This window comes from Homo sapiens, chromosome 6 (genome assembly GCF_000001405.40).
Source record: "Homo sapiens chromosome 6, GRCh38.p14 Primary Assembly".
In the NCBI taxonomy this organism is placed as follows: domain Eukaryota; kingdom Metazoa; phylum Chordata; class Mammalia; order Primates; family Hominidae; genus Homo; species Homo sapiens.
In genome coordinates this window covers 111,238,243-111,259,264 of record NC_000006.12, presented here as the reverse complement: position 1 = coordinate 111,259,264, position 21,022 = coordinate 111,238,243, and the positions used below count along the sequence as shown (strand labels likewise).

At 40.6% G+C, this 21,022-nt stretch overlaps 2 long non-coding RNA genes across 3 annotated transcripts in view, besides 7 other annotated features; one reads left to right on the top strand and one right to left on the bottom strand.

Moving 5' to 3' along the window:
- The first annotated feature begins 52 nt into the window (after nt 1-52).
- Nucleotides 53-21,022, top strand: part of SLC60A2-DT (SLC60A2 divergent transcript) — a 31,466-nt gene continuing 10,496 nt past the window's right edge. The window contains exon 1 of one of the 2 annotated variants that reach the window (XR_001743807.2): nt 53-141. This is a non-coding gene — a long non-coding RNA (SLC60A2 divergent transcript). Of the gene's footprint in view, nt 142-203; nt 336-21,022 lie in introns of those variants that run through there. The other variant, XR_001743806.2, reaches the window with a different exon arrangement.
- Nucleotides 217-276: an enhancer, noted in NCBI's record as "active region_24941". NCBI's record gives its function as "activates an Ori minimal core promoter by ATAC-STARR-seq in GM12878 lymphoblastoid cells {active_cell/tissue: GM12878}" and the evidence as "EXISTENCE:reporter gene assay evidence [ECO:0000049][PMID:35858748]".
- Nucleotides 1,555-3,163, bottom strand: LOC124901378 (uncharacterized). The gene is made up of 2 exons (XR_007059708.1): nt 3,125-3,163; nt 1,555-2,427 (listed from the first exon to the last, which is right to left on the bottom strand). It is a non-coding gene; the product is annotated as an uncharacterized LOC124901378 (long non-coding RNA).
- Nucleotides 2,820-3,466: an enhancer, noted in NCBI's record as "OCT4-NANOG-H3K27ac hESC enhancer chr6:111577002-111577648 (GRCh37/hg19 assembly coordinates)". NCBI's record gives its function as "activates a minimal SCP1, AML or CMV promoter by ChIP-STARR-seq in naive H9 embryonic stem cells {active_cell/tissue: H9 hESC(naive)}" and the evidence as "EXISTENCE:reporter gene assay evidence [ECO:0000049][PMID:30033119]".
- Nucleotides 3,467-4,113: an enhancer, noted in NCBI's record as "OCT4-NANOG-H3K27ac hESC enhancer chr6:111576355-111577001 (GRCh37/hg19 assembly coordinates)". NCBI's record gives its function as "activates a minimal SCP1, AML or CMV promoter by ChIP-STARR-seq in naive H9 embryonic stem cells {active_cell/tissue: H9 hESC(naive)}" and the evidence as "EXISTENCE:reporter gene assay evidence [ECO:0000049][PMID:30033119]".
- Nucleotides 3,805-4,099: an enhancer, noted in NCBI's record as "tiled region #9088; K562 Activating non-DNase unmatched - State 23:Low". NCBI's record gives its function as "activates a minimal TATA promoter and a strong SV40 promoter by Sharpr-MPRA in K562 cells {active_cell/tissue: K562}" and the evidence as "EXISTENCE:reporter gene assay evidence [ECO:0000049][PMID:27701403]".
- Nucleotides 4,114-4,761: an enhancer, noted in NCBI's record as "OCT4-NANOG-H3K27ac hESC enhancer chr6:111575707-111576354 (GRCh37/hg19 assembly coordinates)". NCBI's record gives its function as "activates a minimal SCP1, AML or CMV promoter by ChIP-STARR-seq in naive and primed H9 embryonic stem cells {active_cell/tissue: H9 hESC(naive and primed)}" and the evidence as "EXISTENCE:reporter gene assay evidence [ECO:0000049][PMID:30033119]".
- Nucleotides 4,762-5,408: an enhancer, noted in NCBI's record as "OCT4-NANOG-H3K27ac hESC enhancer chr6:111575060-111575706 (GRCh37/hg19 assembly coordinates)". NCBI's record gives its function as "activates a minimal SCP1, AML or CMV promoter by ChIP-STARR-seq in naive and primed H9 embryonic stem cells {active_cell/tissue: H9 hESC(naive and primed)}" and the evidence as "EXISTENCE:reporter gene assay evidence [ECO:0000049][PMID:30033119]".
- Nucleotides 6,687-6,887: a silencer, noted in NCBI's record as "fragment chr6:111573581-111573781 (GRCh37/hg19 assembly coordinates)". NCBI's record gives its function as "represses an EF-1alpha promoter that drives an FKBP-Casp9 reporter gene in an ReSE screen in HepG2 liver carcinoma cells {active_cell/tissue: HepG2}" and the evidence as "EXISTENCE:reporter gene assay evidence [ECO:0000049][PMID:32094911]".

Below are 21,022 nucleotides of genomic sequence, written 5' to 3'. Positions count from 1 at the left end.
AAGTTGATATGGTTGCCTAGGAGACCGGACGTAGCTCTCTAGCCTAGGCATCATACTTAGCTGAGCTCACAGAGGCTGGCGGACGTGCGCCCCATGGCGGAGCGAGCTGAAGTTGCAGCCTGGGACCAGGGAAATCAAGAGGTAAAAATGCGGCCAAACCATTATGAGGAAAAGGGGCCAAGAATTACACTGTAGCGCCTCGCGCCGGCTCCCCGGTCTCCTGGGGAGCGAAGGGAGCCTGAAGAGCTGGTCCTTATACAGCTTTCTGAAATCCCTGAGATCTGTCAATGAATCGCGCATCTTTCACTCCACAAGTATTTGTTGAACGTCATTGTGTAAGTTATCACGTATATTATCTCAACCCTCACAACACTCCAAATTCCACGTTATCCCCGTTGTACAGATAGAAAGATTAAGTCATAGAAAATAATTAACAATCTGCCCAAGCTCAGTCATCGAATTAGTGGCCGTATATAAACAGTGTAACAGTAGCTCAAGAAAGAAATCGGGATCCAAAGCTGTGGTTTCAAACACAATTCCTGAAATAATTCCAATTCCTGAAATAATTCCATCGTTGTAAAGAAGTGGAGCGTGGCATCGATTTGAGGAATTTTTTTTATATACTTTAAGTTTTAGGGTACATGTGCACAACGTGCAGGTTAGTTACATATGTATACATGTGCCATGTTGGTGTGCTGCACCCATTAACTCGTCATTTAACATTAGGTATATCTCCTAATGCTATCCCTCCCCCCTGATTTGAGGAATTGTTTTCCTTTTGCTCTTTAACAAAGCGTACCACAGCCTCAAAATGTTATATACTTTTCTTTGTGGTCTATTTGAAATGTTCTTTTCCACCTGATTCTTCCAACTTTCATCCACTTAGGCTCCCAGACTACAAACCTTAGTCTCATCATCCCTTGCAACCCGTCTCTCCAGACTTATTCGTTTAGTCATTAAGTCTTCCCCCCACCCGCACCCCCACTTTTTTTTTTGTTTGTTTGTTTTCTTTTTTGAGACAGAGCCTATGTCGCCCGGGCTGGAGTGTTGTGGCGCTTTTTGGTAGAGACGAGTTTTCACCATGTCGGCCAGGCTGGTCTCGAACTCCTGACCTCAAGTGATTCGCCTGCCTTTGGCCTTCCAAAGTGCTGAGATTACAGGTATGAGCCACCATGCCCCGCCAAGCATTTCTTTTTTATTTATTTATTTATTTATTTATTTATTTATTTATTTATTTATTTGAGACGGAATCTCGCTCTGTCGCCCAGGCTGGAGTGCAATGGTGCGATCTCGGCTCACTGCAACCTCTGCCTCCTAGGTTCAAGCGATTCTCCTGCGTCAGCCTCCTGAGTAGCCGGGATTACAGGCGCGTGCCACCACGCACGGCTAATTTTTTTATTTAGTAGAGACGGGGTTTCACCATGTTGGTCAGGCTGGTCTCGAACTCCTGACCTCATGATCCGACCGCCTCGGCCTCCCAAAGTGCTGGGATTACAGGCGTGGGCCACCGCGCCCGGCCCGCCAAGCATTTATTTTAGAGCAGGTCAGCTGGCATTCCTTCATATGAGAATGTCTTTATTTCACTTTGATTCCTGAAAATATTTTCACTGAAAATAGAGTTCTGGGCTAACCGTTATTTCCTTTCAGCACAGAAAGATGAGATTTCTATTCGAGTTTTAGCTACCCATGCCACCCAACAGTTCCCAGCTGGGGTCTCTCCTCAGGACAAACCACAAGAAAAGAAGAAAAAAGCCAGGAAATTCATCCCCTTGCAGGTTTCTAAGTTTTGACTCCCTACCTCAATTCTTTATTTACTTTTCAGAGGCGGCAGGTAGTTGCCATTTGTATTTTGTCATGAGTCTTTCAGTCGTAATCAGTGAGAGAGGGGCTGAAGTAGACTAATGACGCCAAACCAGGACTTTTCTACCTATCTTTGGAGAATCCATGTTAAAACAAACAAACAAACAAACAAACAAACAAAACCTACTTTGGTAGGTAGTCTTTTCTCACCTGCCTTTCAGCCTTGAGGCTGGTTTAGTTTCACAACTATATAGTTGTGCTGCTCCTAAATCTTGTCACAGGTTTTACCTCGTGTTACAGTTCTTTTAGCACTTATCTTCAGTTCCTTAGTAGATTATAAACTCAATGAGATTGAAACTATGGATGTTATATGTCTCTCCCCTAACATTGTATTACATACTTAGTAGCTATTACCTAACTGAATTGATTAATTACCTAACTGAATTGAGGTTCAGTAAAGCCATTTTTAAATTAAATATTTTAATTCACCCTGATTAAATGTAAAAAAAAAAAAAAGAAAAAGCCTTCTCTAAATGGAAAGATCTACTTTCTGATTCTTCATTCCCCACTTCACTCTTGAAAGCAGCAGTATATTTTTTCCAGTTGCCTCCAGAGGTCACCCACCACCTTTGAGAAAAAAAAAAAAAAAAAAAAAAGCATAAACTACAGCATTGCTTCATGCAGATTTCTCTTAGATCAATAGTGAGGATCAAGTTTTTTCTTGAGAGGCAATTTCAGAGAAATAAAGTGTCTATGAGCCACATTTTCTACTGAAAATAAATATAGCTTTATTGATTCTCTTAAAAAATAAGTATTTTACAATGTATATGGCTTAATTTATCTAAAAGGAAAATATCTGGATTTTAGTCACTAATCTGGTACTATCTGGGTGTATTTGTGAAATAGTAACAAGAAGGCAGGTTTTAATCTTTCAACTTAACTTTTTACTTTGGGTGAGAGAGAGAAATTAGACAGATCATGTTTGGAGACTGCATATCACTGTGAGGACCTATTTAATTTTTATTTGCCAGAAGGACCATCCTTTTTACTTATCATGTGATGTCCAATTTGTGCTTACAGTGCATCATGAAGAACTAAGTGTCACCATAACTGTTTCTTTCTGTATACTAAACTATCATTCTTTAACTTCACTGCTAAAAACCCAGTCTATTAAAACTATCTCTCACGAAGATTTAATTTCAGTTAGACAACTTTTATGGTTTATGCTATGTACTTTGAAAAGTTAGAAATAATGTTGAAATGATCTGACATTGGTGATGTTTGATAGAATAAATTATTTATCTTATTAAAAATTAAAACTTACTGATTTTTAAGTTTCCTTTTTTAAAAGGTATAAACTTAAAATTTTCTTCTTTCTTTCTTTATTCTTTCTTCCTTTCTTCTTTCTCTGTGGGGAAAAGCAAGAGAGATCAGATTGTTACTGTGTCTGTGTAGAAAGAAGTAGACATAGGAGACTCCATTTTGTTCTGTACTAAGAAAAATTCTTCTGCCTTGAGATTCTGTTAATCTATAACCTTACCCCCAACCCCGTGCTCTCTGAAACATGTGCTGTGTCAACTCAGAGTTAAATGGATTAAGGTCGGTGCAAGATGTGCTTTGTTAAACAGATGCTTGAAGGCAGCACGCTCCTTGAGAGTCATCACCACTCCCTAATCTCAAGTACCCAGGGACACAAAAACTGCGGAAGGCCGCAGGGACCTCTGCCTAGGAAAGCCAGGTATTGTCCAAGGTTTCTCCCCATGTGATAGTCTGAAATATGGCCTCGTGGGAAGGGAAAGACCCCAGCCCGACACCCGTAAAGGGTCTGTGCTGAGGAGGATTAGTATAAGAGGAAGGCATGCCTCTTGCAGTTGAGACAAGAGGAAGGCATCTGTCTCCTGCCTGTCCCTGGGCAATGGAATGTCTCGGTATAAAACCCGATTGTATGTTCCGTCTACTGAGATAGGGAAAAACCGCCTTAGGGCTGGAGGTGGGAACTGCGGGCAGCAATACTGCTTTGTAAAGCATTGAGATGTTTATGTGTATGCATATCTAAAAGCACAGCACTTAATCCTTTACATTGTCTACGATGCAAAGACCTTTGTTCACGTGTTTGTCTGCTGACCCTCTCCCGACAATTGTCTTGTGACCCTGACACATCCCCCTCTCGGAGAAACACCCACGAATGATCAATAAATACTAAGGGAACTCAGAGGCTGGCGGGATCCTCCATAATGCTGAACGCTGGTTCCCCGGGTCCCCTTATTTCTTTCTCTATACATTGTCTCTGTGTCTTTTTCTTTCTTAAGTCTCTCGTTCCACCTTACGAGAAACACCCACAGGTGTGGAGGGGCAACCCACCCCTACATTTCTCTCCCTCTCTCTTTTTTTTTTTTTTTTTTTTGACAGTCTTGATCAGTCACCCAGGCTGGAGTGCAGTGACATGATCATAGCTTACTGCAGCCTCGACCTCCGGGGCTCAATCAATCCTCCGGCCTCAGCCTCCCAGTAGCTGGGACTACAGGCATGTGCCTCATGCCTGGCTAATTTTTGTATTTTTTGTAGAGATGGGGTTTTGCCATGTTGCCCAGACTGGTAGAATTTTAACTGGATTCACTGTAACATTTAGGTCTACAGCATTCTTTGACTCTACCAACATACGGGTATCCTATGCTGTATTGATCAGATAAAATCTTTGCTGACTGTCCTATTAATAACCAAGATCAGAGATTAAGAAAATAAAAACAATGCAACCAAAAGTGAGAACATGGCAAGTGTAGGTGCTATGAGAACAAAAACGGACTCATGTTTCTTTTAAGAGTGCTTCAGAAGCAATTAGGATCATCTGCATAAAAAAGGAAACCACTTTAGGGTTTTCAGTGCCCTCTAAGCAGAATGATCTTCCTCTGTCTGTATGTAGAGGAGGCCACTTACTCAAAGGGCTGAATACTTGGTCATGTATTTAGTCACTAGTTATTGAATACTTAAGATGTGCAAGGCATTGCTCTAACAGTGAAAAAACAGACAAAATTCCTGCCCTTGTGGATAGACAATGAAGACATACATTTGTAATACGATGTCAGATAGTAGTAAATTCTCTAAAGAAAAATAAAGCAGGATAAACGGGATAGAAAGTGATGACAGGGGTTTATTTTAGATCAAGGTAGTGCTGGGGGAAGGCTCCTGTGAGGGTGAGTGACATGTGAACAGAAGCCTAACAAGTGAGGGAACCAGCCATGCAAGAAAAGCATTCTGGAGAGAACAGCAGGTGCGGGGGTCCCATCACAAGAATGAACTTGGTGCGTGGGAAAAATCGAAAAGACGAGAGCGGCTGGAGCAGCATGAAGAGAGTTGGTAGAAAATGACACAGGAGAGCAAGTAAGGTCCTGATCGTGCAAGGCCTTATGTTAAAGACTTTCTGGATGCATGTGGAAGAGTACTCCAGGGGAGAAGGGCAAGATGAAGAGCAGAGAGAACAGAGATCTAATCAGGAAGTTAATTGATTAGGCTAGATTTGTGTAGGTGGTCAGAGTGGTCAGATTTGGGAAATCGATTGAAGATTAAAAAAAACCAGCATTTGCTAATGGGCTGGGTGCATGACAGAAGATATCAAGGATGACTGCAAGGATTTTGTCCCGAGCAACTGGTGAGCAGTGGATCAGATGGAAAAGATTATGGAATGAGCATGAATTGTCCTGGACATGGAAGAAAATCAGGAATTCAGGTTGAACATGTTAAGATTCAGGTATTTATTAGATAAATAAAGGTATCGAGTGAACAGCTGGATATCCAGTTCAGTAGAAGGATCAGAGCAATAGATACAAACTGGGAGCTATCAGCATGTAGATGATATTTAGTACCATGAGACCAGTTAAGATCACCTAAAGTGTAAGTATAGATATTAATAGAAGAGGATCAAGGACTAAGCCCTGAACGCATCTCATATATACAGATGCGAAAGATGAGGAGTATCCTGCAAAGAAGACTAAGATAAGAGGAAAATCAGGAGAGTGTGTATGGTGTAAACAAAAATTCAAGAAGGCAGGGGTGACCAACTATAACTTCCTATGGAGAAGACATTGGATATATAGAATCAAGCACATATTCTTGAATAATTATGTCATTTAGCCAGGACTTTCCAAATGCATGGGTTGAACTACATGATCTTTGAGGTTGCTTATAATTCTAAGTTTGATAAGAGCAGCAAATAACTTAATAATTTAAAACTATCTCTTAAAACAAACAAACAAACAAAAGCTGTCCCTTACTCTCATTTTTGTCCTGAAGGTAAAAAAGCAACTCAAAACTGGTGTTGTAGTACAATTTTTCCCTTTTCCCCAGATTGGGGTTATCGTTCAAAGTTACATTTTACATAATTATTTGAAAGGTTATAGGTAAATAAGATGTCTTAATAATCCTCTTTCTTTTTTTTCTTTTTGAGACAGGGTCTCACTCTGTCTCCCAGGCTGGAAAGCAGTGTGCAGTCATAGCTCACTGCAACCTCAAACTCCTGGGCTCAAGCAGTCCTCCCACGTCAGCTTCCTGAGTAGCTAGGATTACAGGTGTGAGCCACTGTGCCCAGCTTTTGTTTTATTAATTCCTTAACAAAACTGTCATATCCAAATAGGACATAAAAAGATTTACTGCAAATTCCGTTGTAGACATCTAAGAATAATTTATTTAGAATGGCTGAGGGGAGGGGACTAGTGGAGATTTTGTGAGGTTTTTCTTTGGTGGGGGGACAGGGTCTCATTCTGTCACCCAGGCTAGAGTGCAGTGGCGTGATCATGGCTCACTGCAGCCTTGACCTCCCAGGCCTAATTGATCCTTCCAGCTCAGCTTCCTGAGTAGCTAGGATTACAGGCGCGCACCACCATGCCTGGCTGATTGTGTGTGTGTGTGTAGACGAGGTTTCACTGTGTTTCCCAGGCTTGTCCCCAACCCCTGGGCTTGAACGATCCACCTGCCTTGGCCTTGAAAAGTGCTGGGATTATAGGTGTGAGCCACTGTGCCCAGCCTGAATGGAGATTTAGGATGAGCTAAACTACCCCACCATCCGCAGTCCAAGCCGCCCCTTGGTACTATCCTTGATATTGCAAGGGCCCAAAATAAAGTGAAAACTATAGCCCTAAGAACTTAGATCTAGCTTTCAGGCCTCTTCAGAGAAATTATGTGCAGCAGAAAGTGTTTACCCAATCCAGCTCTTGGGAAGCTGAGCAGAAGTCAGCTCCCTTGTTCTTGACTTGAGATACAAATGCTTTTTATCTATTGTCTCAGTGGGTAGACCTACTGGGAGCCCAGTGAGAGGGAGCTGAAGCAGTCAGTAGATAAGAATGAGTCAAACTGAGTTGTTAAAGGGGCCTGATGAAGAATAGAAGCAGAAATGAGAAACCAAAACAAGGGGCTTGAGAAACAAGAATGAGTAGTGGCCAGGCAATGTGGCTCACGCCTGTAATCCCAGCACTTTGGGAGGCCAAGGCGAGTGGATCACTTGAGGCCAGGAGTTCGAGACCAGCCTGGCCAACATGAGAAGACCCCATCTCTACTAAAAATACAAAATGAAAATCACTTGAACCCAGGAAGGGGAGGTTACAGTGAGCCGAGAACGCACCACTGCACTCCAGCTTGGGCGACAGAGTGACACTATCTCCAGAAAAAAAAAGAATGAGGCACGGTGGTTAAAGTTAAGGCAGGGACATGGACCTCGCATGCAAAATAGCATGTTCATAAATTCAAACTTATATATGGTTTGTATTATGTCAGTTGTCACTAGATAGTTTATAATATTACTATGTTTCTTGACAATTAGAGAACATTAATTATATAATCTAAAAAATTACTGAATAATTTTATTGCATCTCCCTTTTAACGTTCCCAACTGTTTCCTGGCTTCTTTGATGATAATTTCATTAGGAAGCAAAATAATCTTTCACAATATTGTTTTGTGTTTTTAATGCAGGTAACAAGTTTTCATGATAGTTACTTGTTATAACTGAATATTTTCTCTCATTCTTATATTCAAATATTTTAAACAGAGACCATAGTTATTAAACCTAAACAAGCTCTGTTTGTGATGAGTAGTACATATTAAATTCTATTAATAAAAGTAGAAGTCTGTATATTGGTGCTGTCATTTAGAGATGACAAAAAGAGGAAGAGAGATTAAGGGGAAAAGAATGATGAATGAATGAGACATATCAGCTAGCTACTCAGGCTAGACGCCGAGGCTAGATCCCTTTAGAGCTCAGCTTTCCAAGGTCAGGAACTCAGTTACTAGTTCTTTTTAGCTCATCCAGAACTGATTAGCTCCCAGAGAACTGACTGTTATGACCAGGCCTACAAGATAGGAATTAAACAGAGTGACATGCCCCATGTCTAATATTCCCAAGGCACCCCTTCCTGGTGAGTCTGACCAGTCTGGAAGCCAAATGATAAGTTAGACAAGGGTCAGCAAACTATCACCTACAGGCGATATCTAGCCACATCCTGATCTTGTAAATAAAGTTTTATTGGAACATAGCCATGCCTGCTTATGTACACATTATCTATGGCTGAGTTTACACTATAAAGACAGAGTTGGGTAACAGTGACAGAGACCTCACGGCCCAAAAAGCCTAAGCTATTTACCATCTGTCCCTTTCCAGAAATAGTTTGCCAACAACTGTATTAAAAGATCCTCTATGAAAGCAAAATTCAAGAAGAAGGGATTATGTATGTCCTTAGAAGTTTTGAAACCAGATAAATTGTTCTTTTCCACTGTCAAGCTAATTTTTTAGCTATGTTAAAAAAAATCAGAATCTTAGAAGTTTTGGGGAATATACTGATGAATTCTTACCATCTAATACTCTTTAAAAAACATATATCCCCAACACAAAGAAAGAACAAAAAATAAATAAAAAGAAAAAACGTATATCCTTGACTTTTGTATTGCAAGTCTTCCCATTAGTTTATCTTCCATTATTGTGATTTTAAGTCACTGTCTTTCCTTCCAGGGAGCTAATTTAGGTCTGTGCTAAGATTTAGATAGCACCCTAGTTTTATGACCAATATTCTTACAAATCATTTCTTTCTGTGTTATTTTCTCAGATTTCCATAGGTAGTTAATTCTATGCATTTAAAGTTGGTTTTTGTTAGTTTAAAAATGTGACATTTGCCCCGCATTTCAGGAGTGATGTTTTCTGACTTTGTCTACAAATTCTTGAGTGTACTGTGTCTGTGGTTATCAGATCAAGAGTGTCCCATAACATGCAATGACCATCCCAATTTCTCAATATTCAATCATATAAAGAGGTAAATTTTACTGTAGGTCAAAGAGGTTCAAATGAGCTATTGTTAGTAACTTTTAGGCTTCATGTCAGCTAGCTATCAATTTATTGCCTCTCAGCTCCAAATTCAGCCTTAAGTACCTGCTCTGCCATAATGGAGTGGACTCCCTTCCAGAGAGCACAATGTTACACTTCTCACTATAGGATGCTAGAGGGACATTATAGGAGGAAGGGGCTTCTTGTCTTGGTTCTCATGTGCTGCATTTTTCATTTTCTTACTCCTGCTGCACAGTCCAACAGCCAAAAGTATAAGGGGCTGGTGGGGAGGGAGGGATGCATCCCGTGGTGCTCTGCCACATCTGTGCTCAATTCAGCCTGAAGGCTTCTTGCTGGCAGTAGTTCCCTAATTCCATCTGCACACCTGCCCACCAGCCTCAACACACCTCTGCTCCAAAGGTTGTTTTCCATAGCCCTTCTGACACACACTCACACACCCCTGGCCACAGCACCCTGCCAGAAAGCAGACCCTGATACTCTGACTCTACACATACCTACCCTCGAGTTTATCAGCAAAGATGGAATTGTAATTATGAAAAATATCTAAGTCATTGACATTTATTTATAATTTGATAAAAATGCACACATTTGCATCACATCTTTGTATCCATTTCTTAGATTGAAAATCTTAGAAACCATATGTGCACTAAAAAAACATAAAAGTATTCATTTGTCTTACTTTAGTAATTCCATTCTAGGAAATCCAGCTTAAGGAGATTATCACAAATGTACAAGAAAATGTTTACTAAAATGATCGTAGCAGCATTCTTTTTGATAGAAACATCTAAAGCAGTGCAAATGTCTAAAATGTAAAAATGGGTCAGGTGTGGTGGCTCATGCGTGTAATCCCAGAGCTTTGGGAAGTGAGGCAGGAGGATCTCATGAGGCCAGGAGTGTGAGACCAGCCTGGGCAACATGGCCAGACCCTGTCTGTATTTTAAAAACACTAAAAAAAACAATTTTTTTAATGTAACAATGATAAAATTTTAAAAAAGGATAGTAATGGTTCTATAACATTGCAAATGTACTTAATGCCACTGAACTGTACAGTTAAAAATGGTTAAAATGGGCCAGGCACAGTGGCTCACACCTGCAATCTCAGCACTTTGGGAGGCTGAAGCAGGAGGATTGCTTGAGCCCAGCCTGGGCAACATGGCAAGACCTCATCTCTACAAATAATAAGTTACTGAATATCTGGGACAACAAGCTGAGGCCAACTGCCCAGCTCTCAAGGTCATTTTTTGAAGTTCAGTAACTCTTCATGTTCTTTGGCTAACATCCTTAACTTTAGTTTCAAATGGATTAGTCACCCAATCTGGTAAAGTTCCTCTAAATCTTTAAATCTAATCATCACATCTTTTAAAATAGCACTCAAATAAGAACAATATATTTCAAAATTGACATCTTCATTTTTTTCTTGTTGTTGAGACAGTGTCTCACTCTGTCACCCAGGCTGGAGTGCAGTGGTGGGATCATAGCTCACTACAGCCTCAACCTCCTGGGCTCAAGTGATCCTCCCACCTCATCCTCCTGAGTAGCTGGGACCACAGGCACACACCACCATGCTCAGCTAATTTTGTATTTTTTGTAGAGAAAGGGTCTCACCATGTTGTCCAGGCTGGTCTTGAACTCCTGGGCTCAAGTGATCCATCTGTCTTGGCCTCCCAAAGTGCTGGGATTACAGGCATGAGCCACCGTGCCTGGCCAAAATTGACCTCATTAAGCCTGTCCTTGCCTAACTGCTACAAAGATGGAAATTATTAAAATTCTCAGGAAATCAAGTATTTTAAATAATGTAAGTTTATTGACAATTTTTTCATTTGAATGAGAGTGCAGTATAAGAAGGAACCTCATTAACTTTTCCCATGCATCTGGAATATATGTCAGATTACTTCAAAATATTTTAATTTTTATGTTTAAATTTTCGTGATGGAAGAAAAACATCAGTGGTGTTCATAGTGAACAAAATAGTTTTAAACATTATGCTCTGGAGAGCCATTTTACTTATGTGTATAGGATAAGGCATTGAAACTTCTTTATTCTCATTGCAGTTTATGAAATAATTTATGTTTCAGCAATCACTCAATTTTATTCCTTGTTTATTAGCCACTGACAATACTCAGTGATTTTGAAGTGTTTTAAGATTCTTAAAGACTAAGTATTGTTGATGAATAATGCAGTGAATTGCGAAAACACTTGATGCTACTTTAAGTTGGTTATAAACCCATGTTGCCACCAAGCATGGCTATTGTTTCATATGTTACAAAACAATGACATTAAAAGATAATTTTTTCATAATTTTTTTGAGTTTGTTATTATACCCATTGTTACTATGTTTGAAAATAAATTTTCTTTTATGATTTTTTTTTTGAGACAGGGTCTTACTCTGTCACCCAGGCTGGGGTGCGGTAGCGCAATCTCAGGTCACTGCAACCTCTGCCTCCCAGGTTCAAGCGATTCTCTTGCCTCAGCCTCCCGAGTAGCTGGGTTTACAGGCACCTACTACCACGCCAGGCTAATTTTGGTATTTTTAGTAGAGACGGGGTTTCACCATGTTGGCCAGGCTGGTCCCAAACTCCCGACCTCAGGTGATCTGCCTGCCTCGGCCTCCCAAAGTGCTGGGATTATGGCCTTTATGATTTTTAAATTCCTGCTGGGCACGGTGGCTCACGCCTCTAATCCCAGCACTTTGGGAGGCCGAGGTAGGAGGATCATGAGGTCAGGATTTCGAGACCAGCTTGGCCAACATGATGAAACCCCATCTCCACTAAAAATACAAAAATTAGCCAGGCAATTTTTGATTAGCAGGCACTTGTAATCCCCGCTACTCAGGAGGCTGAGGCAGGAGAATCACTTGAACCTGGGAGGTGGAGGTTGCAGTGAGCCAAGATCGCACCACTGCACTCCAGCCTGAGTGACAGAGCAAGACTCCATCTCAGAAAAAAAAAAAAAAAATCCTTATGAATATTACATATGCATGTAATAAATATTAATTTAATTATCATGCAGAATGCTTTCATCCATTTGTAATGAAACTGACTTGCCTGCAAGTCATAACATGCCTAATTTTCCAAAATCTTTTTCGCCATCTCAATTATTGAAACAGTAACATTGCTCAATGACATAGGATAAATCATTTCAATTTGATTTCTTTTTATCTTCATACTAATAACCTCTTACACAGCCGGCAAAATCAATTTTGCCTTAACATTGTGTGGCTTACCACATTTTTCAATCATTGTGCTATTCTGAAAGAAACAATAAAACCATCTTTCTGATTAGGAAAAATTTGTTAAACATTCCAATGATAGTAAGACAGCTTTCAAAGTTCTCAGGATGCTGTATCTCTGCCAACTTATTGCTCTGTTTCTTTGTAAAGTGGTCACTTAATCTTCATGGTTTCATTGCTTCCTGAGAGAAAAACATGTTAACAAAATGGAAATATTGGTAACTGTTCATTTGTGGACAAAGATATAAGACCTAATTTGAAATATCCAACTGAATATTGATACTTTTCTTCATAATTAGTGAAATAAGGACTGAATAAATATATTAATATAGGTAGAGAACAATCACTGTAAGTGCAACGTTATACATACAGACTGAGTTGTAGTAGGTGAGTATCAACTACTCAAATACCACGAGTGACGTTATTGCCCTTGATGATTTTCCAAAATGGAGAACCTAAAACAAAACGCAACCTTCCCTTGTGTTACATGATATTTTACTTTCTTGGAAAACTCATTTATTGAAACTATGCTAAAAATACTTGGTGCCTATATGTACAAGAGAGAGTCTGGGCTCAGATAATCAAAAAGAAATATTTTTCCTTCATATGAATATTTGGCAGGACATTCAAAAATTGGACAGTATGTGGGACTATCCCACACATGTGGAGCTCTAGCATGTTGAGCCTCTGCCCACTAAATGCTAATAGCAGAGTTACTATGACACCCTCACACATTTTCAAAGCACCCCCTGCAGCCTGCAGGACTTCATGTTTTTTATTTATTTATTGAAGACAGAGTCTCGCTCTGTCAACAGGCTGGAGTGCAGTGGTGCGACCTTGGCTCCCTGAAACCTCCACCTCCTAGGTTCAAGCGATTCTCCTGCCTCAGCCTTCCAAGTAGCAGGGACTGCAGGTGCGCGCCACCACGCCCAGCTAATTTTTTTATTTTTTGTAGAGAAGGGGTTTCACCATGTTGGCTAGGATGGTCTCGATCTGCTGACCTCGTGATCCACTGGCCTTGGCCTCCCAAAGTGCTGGGATTACAGGTATGAGCCACCACATCCGGCTTCATCTTTTTTTTTTTTTTAACTGCTCCTTCAATTGAGAATCACAAGATAAAAAGCATCTGCCTCAAAGGTTTAATACCTTTAGCATCAAAGGTTTAATACCTTTAGCATCATTTGAGACTCAAATCATTAAACTCAAAGGTTTAATACATTTAGCATCTTTTCAGAAAATACTATTTGCTGAGAATGCTCAAATGGCCAGGGCAACAGAAGAGAGTGGTATTCTCTCTAAATGCTACGAGGATTCTAGATAAAAGTCTTCTTTTCCAAGTTACTTCTTGATAAAAGTTCATATATCATAAGACATTCAGAGGTACTTTTTTTTCTTCTTAAGCACCAAAGCTCTTTTGGATTTGTACGCATAGGATGAAGAATGGCAATTGCTAGGCAGTAGAGCCTCACCAATGAAAGTTGTTTGCTCTCCAGTATCTGAAGAGACTAGTCTTTGTTTGAAAACCTTGTGATAATGTCACTTGGGGCAGACACCTTGGAAGAGGATGCCCATTCTCTTCAAGACCCATGATAACCATCCTTTATTGCCACTAGCCCCATAACTAGGATCAAATCTTGACATCTCCAGGTGGGCAGGTACACACTATGATCCAGGAGGAAATAACACCAAAATAACTGCAATATTTTGTTAATATATATGAATGGAAACCTGGTGAATGTGTGGAAGTGGATGCTAAAGGTATTAAACCAAGGAAAACAGAATAGAACACTAGATCCAGCTGAATTCACTGCTATGGATACACTTTACTAGGGACTGCAGGTTCAAAGTGTCAGTCCATGCAGCTGGAGATGGCTGTAAAAGCTTACTTGGTTGGTTGACTAAAAATTTCGACTCACTGGTGGTCTACAGTTAATGAGGTTGAAATGCTGGAGCTTCCTTGGCATGATGTGAAGGAAGTAATCCAAAGGCTAGCCTCTGTCTTTTTCCATAGCAAACTTCAATGCTGGAAGATTTTTGAGAAATGGCTACAAAATCCCATAGGAAAGAAAACATGAGCCAAATATTTTCAGGTGTAAAGACAAAAGATAAATAGTTTGAAGATGAAAGAACTCTTGGAATATTATTTTCATAAATCCATTTGAGAAATGTTAGAAGGTTCAGTAGAACAAGAGATGAGTGGAGAAACAACTGCAGACGGGATTGGCAGTGAGCTTTGATGCAAATCACAGGACAAAGACAAATATGAGGATTACGGTGGAAAGATGGAATTTAAATGTTATTAGCCCTGATGATGTAGAAATGATAGAGCAATAAAAAGTGGAAAGCAATGGATGGAAAAGGATGAAAATATACTGATTTTTTTGTTTGTTTGCTGGATACTATGGTGTGTGTCTGTAATCCTAGCTACTTGGGGGGCTGAGGCAGGAGGATTGTTTGAGCTCAGGAATTTGAGACTAGCCTGAGCAAAATAGTAAGACCCCATCTCTAAACAATTAAAAATTATATATATGAAATAAAGTATACTGATTCCTCATCTTTAATAACTAGAGGTGAAAAGTTATTACTTAAAGCTAATTAAATGAATAGTAGAGTTATAAGTATAAAATGGAATAATACAGAGGTAAAATAATTAGAGGTAAACATGAAGAAAGATAATATTACTAAAATCAGGTGATAGAGAGGGGGAGATGGAGGAAAAAATATGTTAATTCTGTCATTGTAAATAGAAGAAAACTATTATATACTGTTGGAGTGGGGGAAGGAGGAGAAGATGAATTATTCAGTGAGTAGTAACTAGTATCAAGAAAACTGGAAAAATCCAGTTGACCCTTCAACAGCACAAATTTGAACTGCATGAGTCCACTTATATGTGAATTTTTTTCAATAAATATATGGAAATTTTGGGGGGATATTTGCAACAATTATAAAAAACTTGCAGACAAATCACATAGCCTAGAAATATGGAAAAAAGAAAATGTTAGGTATGTCATCAACGCATAAAAATATGTAGACACTTGTCTATTTTTATCATTTACTACCATAAAATATACACAAATCTATTATTAAAATGTTAAAATGTATCAAAATTTACACACACAAACATCAGACTACACATGGCGCCATTTGCAGTCCAGAGAAATGGAAACAAATGTGAAGATGCAGTATTAAATCATAACTGCATACAACTCACTGTAGTACACACTGTACTGCTGGAATAATTTTGCAGCTGCCTCTCGTTGTTGTCGTGGTGGGCTCCAGTGTTGTGAGTATCCACCCAAAACGTTGTGTGACGCTCGTCGGTCATCTCCACTTGCCCAGTTCATCTCTCCAGTAAATTCCATTGAAGTAAAAACTAATTTCTCTCAGTTCTTGCATTTTTTGTGTGTGTTTAGTGTGAGAAAAATGAAATCCTAAGCCCCCCAACCAACTAAACAGACTCCTTTCTCGGCCAAAACTCAGTTCCAGCTGTGACGAGATGGGGGCCTCATTACACCTGCTCCTGCTCTAACTGCTCTTAGGTTTTCTTCCTTAAGGGTTACAGAGAAGCCAGCCCTTCTGAGAGACTTGCTCCACTGCTGATAGCCACCAACCACCTGTCGCTGCCCTTCCATTTGGCAGTTTGGACAAAGCTTTCCTTCCTCATAAGAGACCAGGGTCCACAGAGTGGCTCTGGCCAGTCTACCAAGGATGAGCAGAGAGGTTTTCGTGTTGTCTGCTTCACCACTTGAAATCAGAGGGCCAAAAACTCCACCCTTGGATGGAGGGTGCTAACACTGCCACTTTTTGAACATGGGTCCCATGGAGAAGCATGAAGCTCTATTGTGCATGTGTGTGTTTCTCCTTTCATAAATAATCATAACTCCTCCTATAGCTTATTAAGTATGTATATTTGGCCACCTGCTTCAGCAAATCTCTGTCATACTCTTCCCCCTGTCAAAGTGTCTGTTTTTGGCTTCTGGCTGGAGGCTGTTCTTTCCAGCCTGTCAGAATGGCCACCCTGCAAGCTGCAACCCTTTATAAGAAAGCTCTCCTTTCCAAATGTATGAACCTCCATCGTTCTTCAGTTGACAAGTGCAATACTGTAAACCTTGAATAACACCATGGGACCCATACAAAGTGCCATTAGTGATGCCTGAAGTGCACTCAAGAAGCAGATAAAAGTCATGATATCACAAGAAAAAGCTGAACTCCTTGATATGAACCTTCGATTGAGGTCTGCAGCCACAGGCGCTGACCATTTCAGACAGATGATTCATCTTGTAAACAGACAATGTGAACTTGGTTTGATGAATACAGTAAAATACTGTACATGCATTTTCTCTTAAGATTTTCATAGCTGGGCACAGTGGCTCACATCTGTAATCCCAGCACTTTGGAAGGCCGAGGCAAGAGGATTGCTTGAGCCCAGGAGTTCGAGACTAGCCTAGGTAACATAGTGAGATCTCCCATCTCTACCAAAAAAAAAAAAAAATAGCCAGGCATGGTGGCACGTGCCCGTGGTTTCAGCTTCTCTGGAGGCTGAGGTGGGAGGATTGCTTGAGCCCAGGAGGTCAAGGCTGCAGTGAGCCATGACTGAGCCACTGCACTGCATCCTGGGTGACAGAGCAAGACCGTCTTAAAAACAAAAACATAAAAAGGTTTTCTTAATGACATTTTCTTTTTTCTATCTTAAGAATACAGTATATGATACATATACAAAATATGTGTTAGTTGACTGTTTATGTTATCAGTAAGGCTCTGGTCAATAACAGGCTATTAGGAGTTAAGTTTTGGGGGAGTCAAACATTATGCATGGATTTTCGACTGCATGGAGTGTAGGGACCCCAACCCCTGCATTGTTCAATGGCCATTTTTTTTTTTAAGACAGGTTTTCACTCTGCCACCCAGGCTGGAGTGCAGTTGCATGACCTTGGCTCACTGCAGCCTCTGCCTCCCAGGCTCAATCAATCCTCCCACCTTAGCCTCCCTAGTAGCTGGGACAACAGGTGCACACCACCACACCTGGCTAATTTTTGTATCTTTTGTACAGACAGGATTTTACTGTGTTGCCCAGGCTGGTCTTGAACTCCTAGGCCCAAGCTATCTGCCTGCCCCGGTCTCCCAAAGTGCTGGGATTATAGGTGTGAGCCACCACACCCAGCTCAATTGTACCTTTTTTTTTTTTTTTTTTGAGACGGAGTCTCGCTCTGTTACCCAGCTGGAGTGCAATGGTGCAATCTCGGCTCACTGCAAGCTCCGCCTCCTGGGTTCAGGCCATTCTCCTGCCTCAGCCTCCCAAGTAGCTGGGACTTCAGGCGCCCGCCACCACGCCTGGCTAATTTTTTGTATTTTTAGTAGAGACGGGGTTTCACCGTGTTAGCCAGGGTGGTCTCGATCTCCTGACCTCGTGATCCTCCCGCCTTGGCCTCCCAAAGTGTTGGGATTACAGGCATGAGCCACCGCGCCCGGCCGCCCAATTGTACTTTTTAAAAAATGGTTAGAATTCAACTTTATACCATATATCAAAATCAATAATAACTTAGAGATTTAATGTAAAAATGAAGCCATAAATATATCAGAAGGAGTTTTAAGAATGTATTTATATAGAAGAGTGGGGAAGGCCTTTCTAAACACGTCAACAATGACAGTGCTGTGGTCTGAATGTGTCCCCCACCAAATTCATATGTTGATACTTGATCACCAATGTGATAGTATCAAGAGGTGTTGACCAGGTACGGTGGCTCATGCCTGTAATCCCAGCAATTTGGGAGGCCGAGGCAGGCAGATCACCTGAGGTCAGTAGTTCAAGACCAGCCTGGTTAACATGGTGAAACCTGTCTCTACTAAAATATACAAAAATTAGCTGGACATGGTGGCACAAGCCTATAATCCCAGTTACTCAGGAGTCTGAGGCACAAAAATCGCTTGAACCCAGGAGGTCGAGGTTGCAGTGAGAGCTGAGATCATGCCACTGCACTCCAGCCTGGGTGACAGAGCGAGACTCTGTCTCAAAAAAAAAAAAAAAAAAAAAGGAGGTGGGACCTTTAGGAGATGATTAAGTTATGAGGGCAGAGTGTTCAGGAAGGAGATCAGCACCCTTATAAAACAGACTGAAAGGAGCTAGCTTGCCCTTCCACTATGTGAGAACTCAACAAGGTGTCATCTTTGAAGCAGGGAAGGCAAGCTCTTACCAGATGCTCAGTCTGTCGGTAACTTGACCTTGGGCTGCTCAGCCTCCAGAACTGTGTGCAATACATTTCCATTGTTTATAAACTACCCAGTCTAGGCTGGGCGTGGTGGCTCACGCCTGTAATCCCAGCACTTTGGAAGGCCAAGGCAGGTGAATCACCTGAGATCAGGAGTTCGAGATCATCCTGGCCAACATGCTGAAACCCCATATCTACTAAAATAAAAAAAAAAATTAGCCGGGTATGGTGGTGGGCACCTATAATCCCAGCCACTCAGGAGGCTGAGGCAGGAGAATTGCTTGAGCCCGGGAGGCGGAAGCTGCAGTGAGCCGAGATTGTGCCAGTGCACTACAACCTGGGTGACAGAGCGAGACTCTGTCTCAATAATAATAATACCACTAATAATAAAGTAATAAATTACCCAGTTTAGCTGGGCATGGTGGCTTACGCCTGTAATCTCAGCACTTGATGGGAGGCCGAGGCAAATGGATTGCTTGAGCTCAGGAGTTTGAGACCAGCCTGGGCAACATAGTGAGACCCCATCTCTAAAGAAAATACAAAAATTAGGTAAGTGTGGTGGCACATGCCTGTGGTCCCAGCTACCTGGGAGGCTGAGGCGGGAGGATGGATTGAGCCTGGAAGGTCAAGGCTCCAGTGAGCCATGATCATGCCACTGCACTATAGCTTGGGTGACAGAGTGAGATCCTGTCTCAATAAATAAATAAGTAACCCAGTCTAAGGTATTTTGTTATAATAGCCCAAAAGGACTAAGACAGAATCCATAAAATGAAAATTTTAACTAAAAAAAAAAAAAATAACTGCAGGAGTCTCTCTGGGCCTACTCTGGCTCAGGAGGCTGCCCAATAAAATAAAAATTTAAATTAAAAAAAAATTAAAAACACCATAATCAGTGTAAAAAGACAAATAACAAATAGGGAAAACTTTTAGCAATACATATGAGAGTCACAGCTAATACAGCATACGAAGAAAGTTCACAAAGTTCCCGAACAGAAAAATAAACAAAGGAGAAGAACAAACCCCCAAAGAGGAAGTGCAAATAGCTGAGTGATTTATGAGAAAAATTACACTTATTAGTAATAAAAATGCAAATTTAGACAAATGCTGTATGATTTCATGATATAAGGTTCTAGAGCAGTCAGATTCGTAGAGACAGAAAGTAGAATGGTGATTGACAAGAACTGAGCAGTGGCGGGGGGAAATGGGGAGTTAGTGTTTAATGGGTATGGAGTTTCAGTTTGGGAAGATGAAAAGTTCTGGAGATGGTAGTGATAGTTACAACAATGGCAACGTACATAATGCTATAGTACACTTAAAAATGATTAAAGTGAGGCTGGTGTAGTGGCATATAGCTATAGTTCCAGCTACTCTGGAGGATGAAGTGGGAAGATTGCTAGAGCCCACGAATTTGAGACCAGCCTGGCTGCATAGTAAGACCCCATCCCCCTCCCAAAAAAAAGGTTATATAAAATGGTAAATCTTATGTATATTTACCACAATTCAAAAAAAAAAACCCAAATGCAATTTTTAAATGAAGGCTTTTTAAAATCTGTAAACTGTTCAGTCTCTGTAATTAAAAAAATAACAGTATATAATATTATGAAGGTTCAGAGAAAGCATATAGTAACGCAACTTGACAAAACACAGCAAAGGCAAAAATACTAACCCTTCTACTCAGAAATTCTACCACTAGGAATTTTGCCTAAAGGAAATAAAGATGAGTATAAAGATTTCGCTATTAGAGTGTTCATAGCAATGGTGTTTATCACTGTGAAACAGGAAACAAATCTACATGTCCAATGATAGAGTTACAACAAATTAAAGATTCATCCATTTCATGGGATAACTGTGGAAACCATCAAAATAATGATGTAGAATTATACTGAATGACACATGTGGTAAACTTCTGTTATTTTTCTGCACAGAATCCATTCACTTTTCCAGGCAACAGGACCCTAGTTTTCTTTGAGGGGACCACCACCCTTCCTCATCTCATTTCAGGAAGTGAGTTAGCCATTACCCCACTTCAGGGCGGCATGATTCATGTCTGTTGAGTCAGCATCTCCTGACTCCTGGCTCAGTGATGGGTTCCAAGATGGGCACCTGACCTATGTTAGACCAGTGCGTTTTGATCCCAGGACTTTTTGTGCAAAAGATTGGGAGAGGGAAGTTCTTTTTCATCTGCTAGAGTTGATACAAAGGATAGCTTGGAGTTGTGGGAAAGAGGTCCCTTGAACAATGCCTACCAAAAAGAAAGCACCTGGACTTTTCACTCTTTTTCTTAAACCAGTTTGATTTGATTTTGGTTTTTGTCACTAACCAAAAAAAAAAAGTCATAAAGGATATGACATAGAAAGATGTTACAAGTCTTAAGTGAAAAAAGCATATTGCAGAATAGTATGTGTAGCACTTCTACAAATCATTTCCATAAATATCCGTAAATATAGTCTAAAGGGATATAGTCT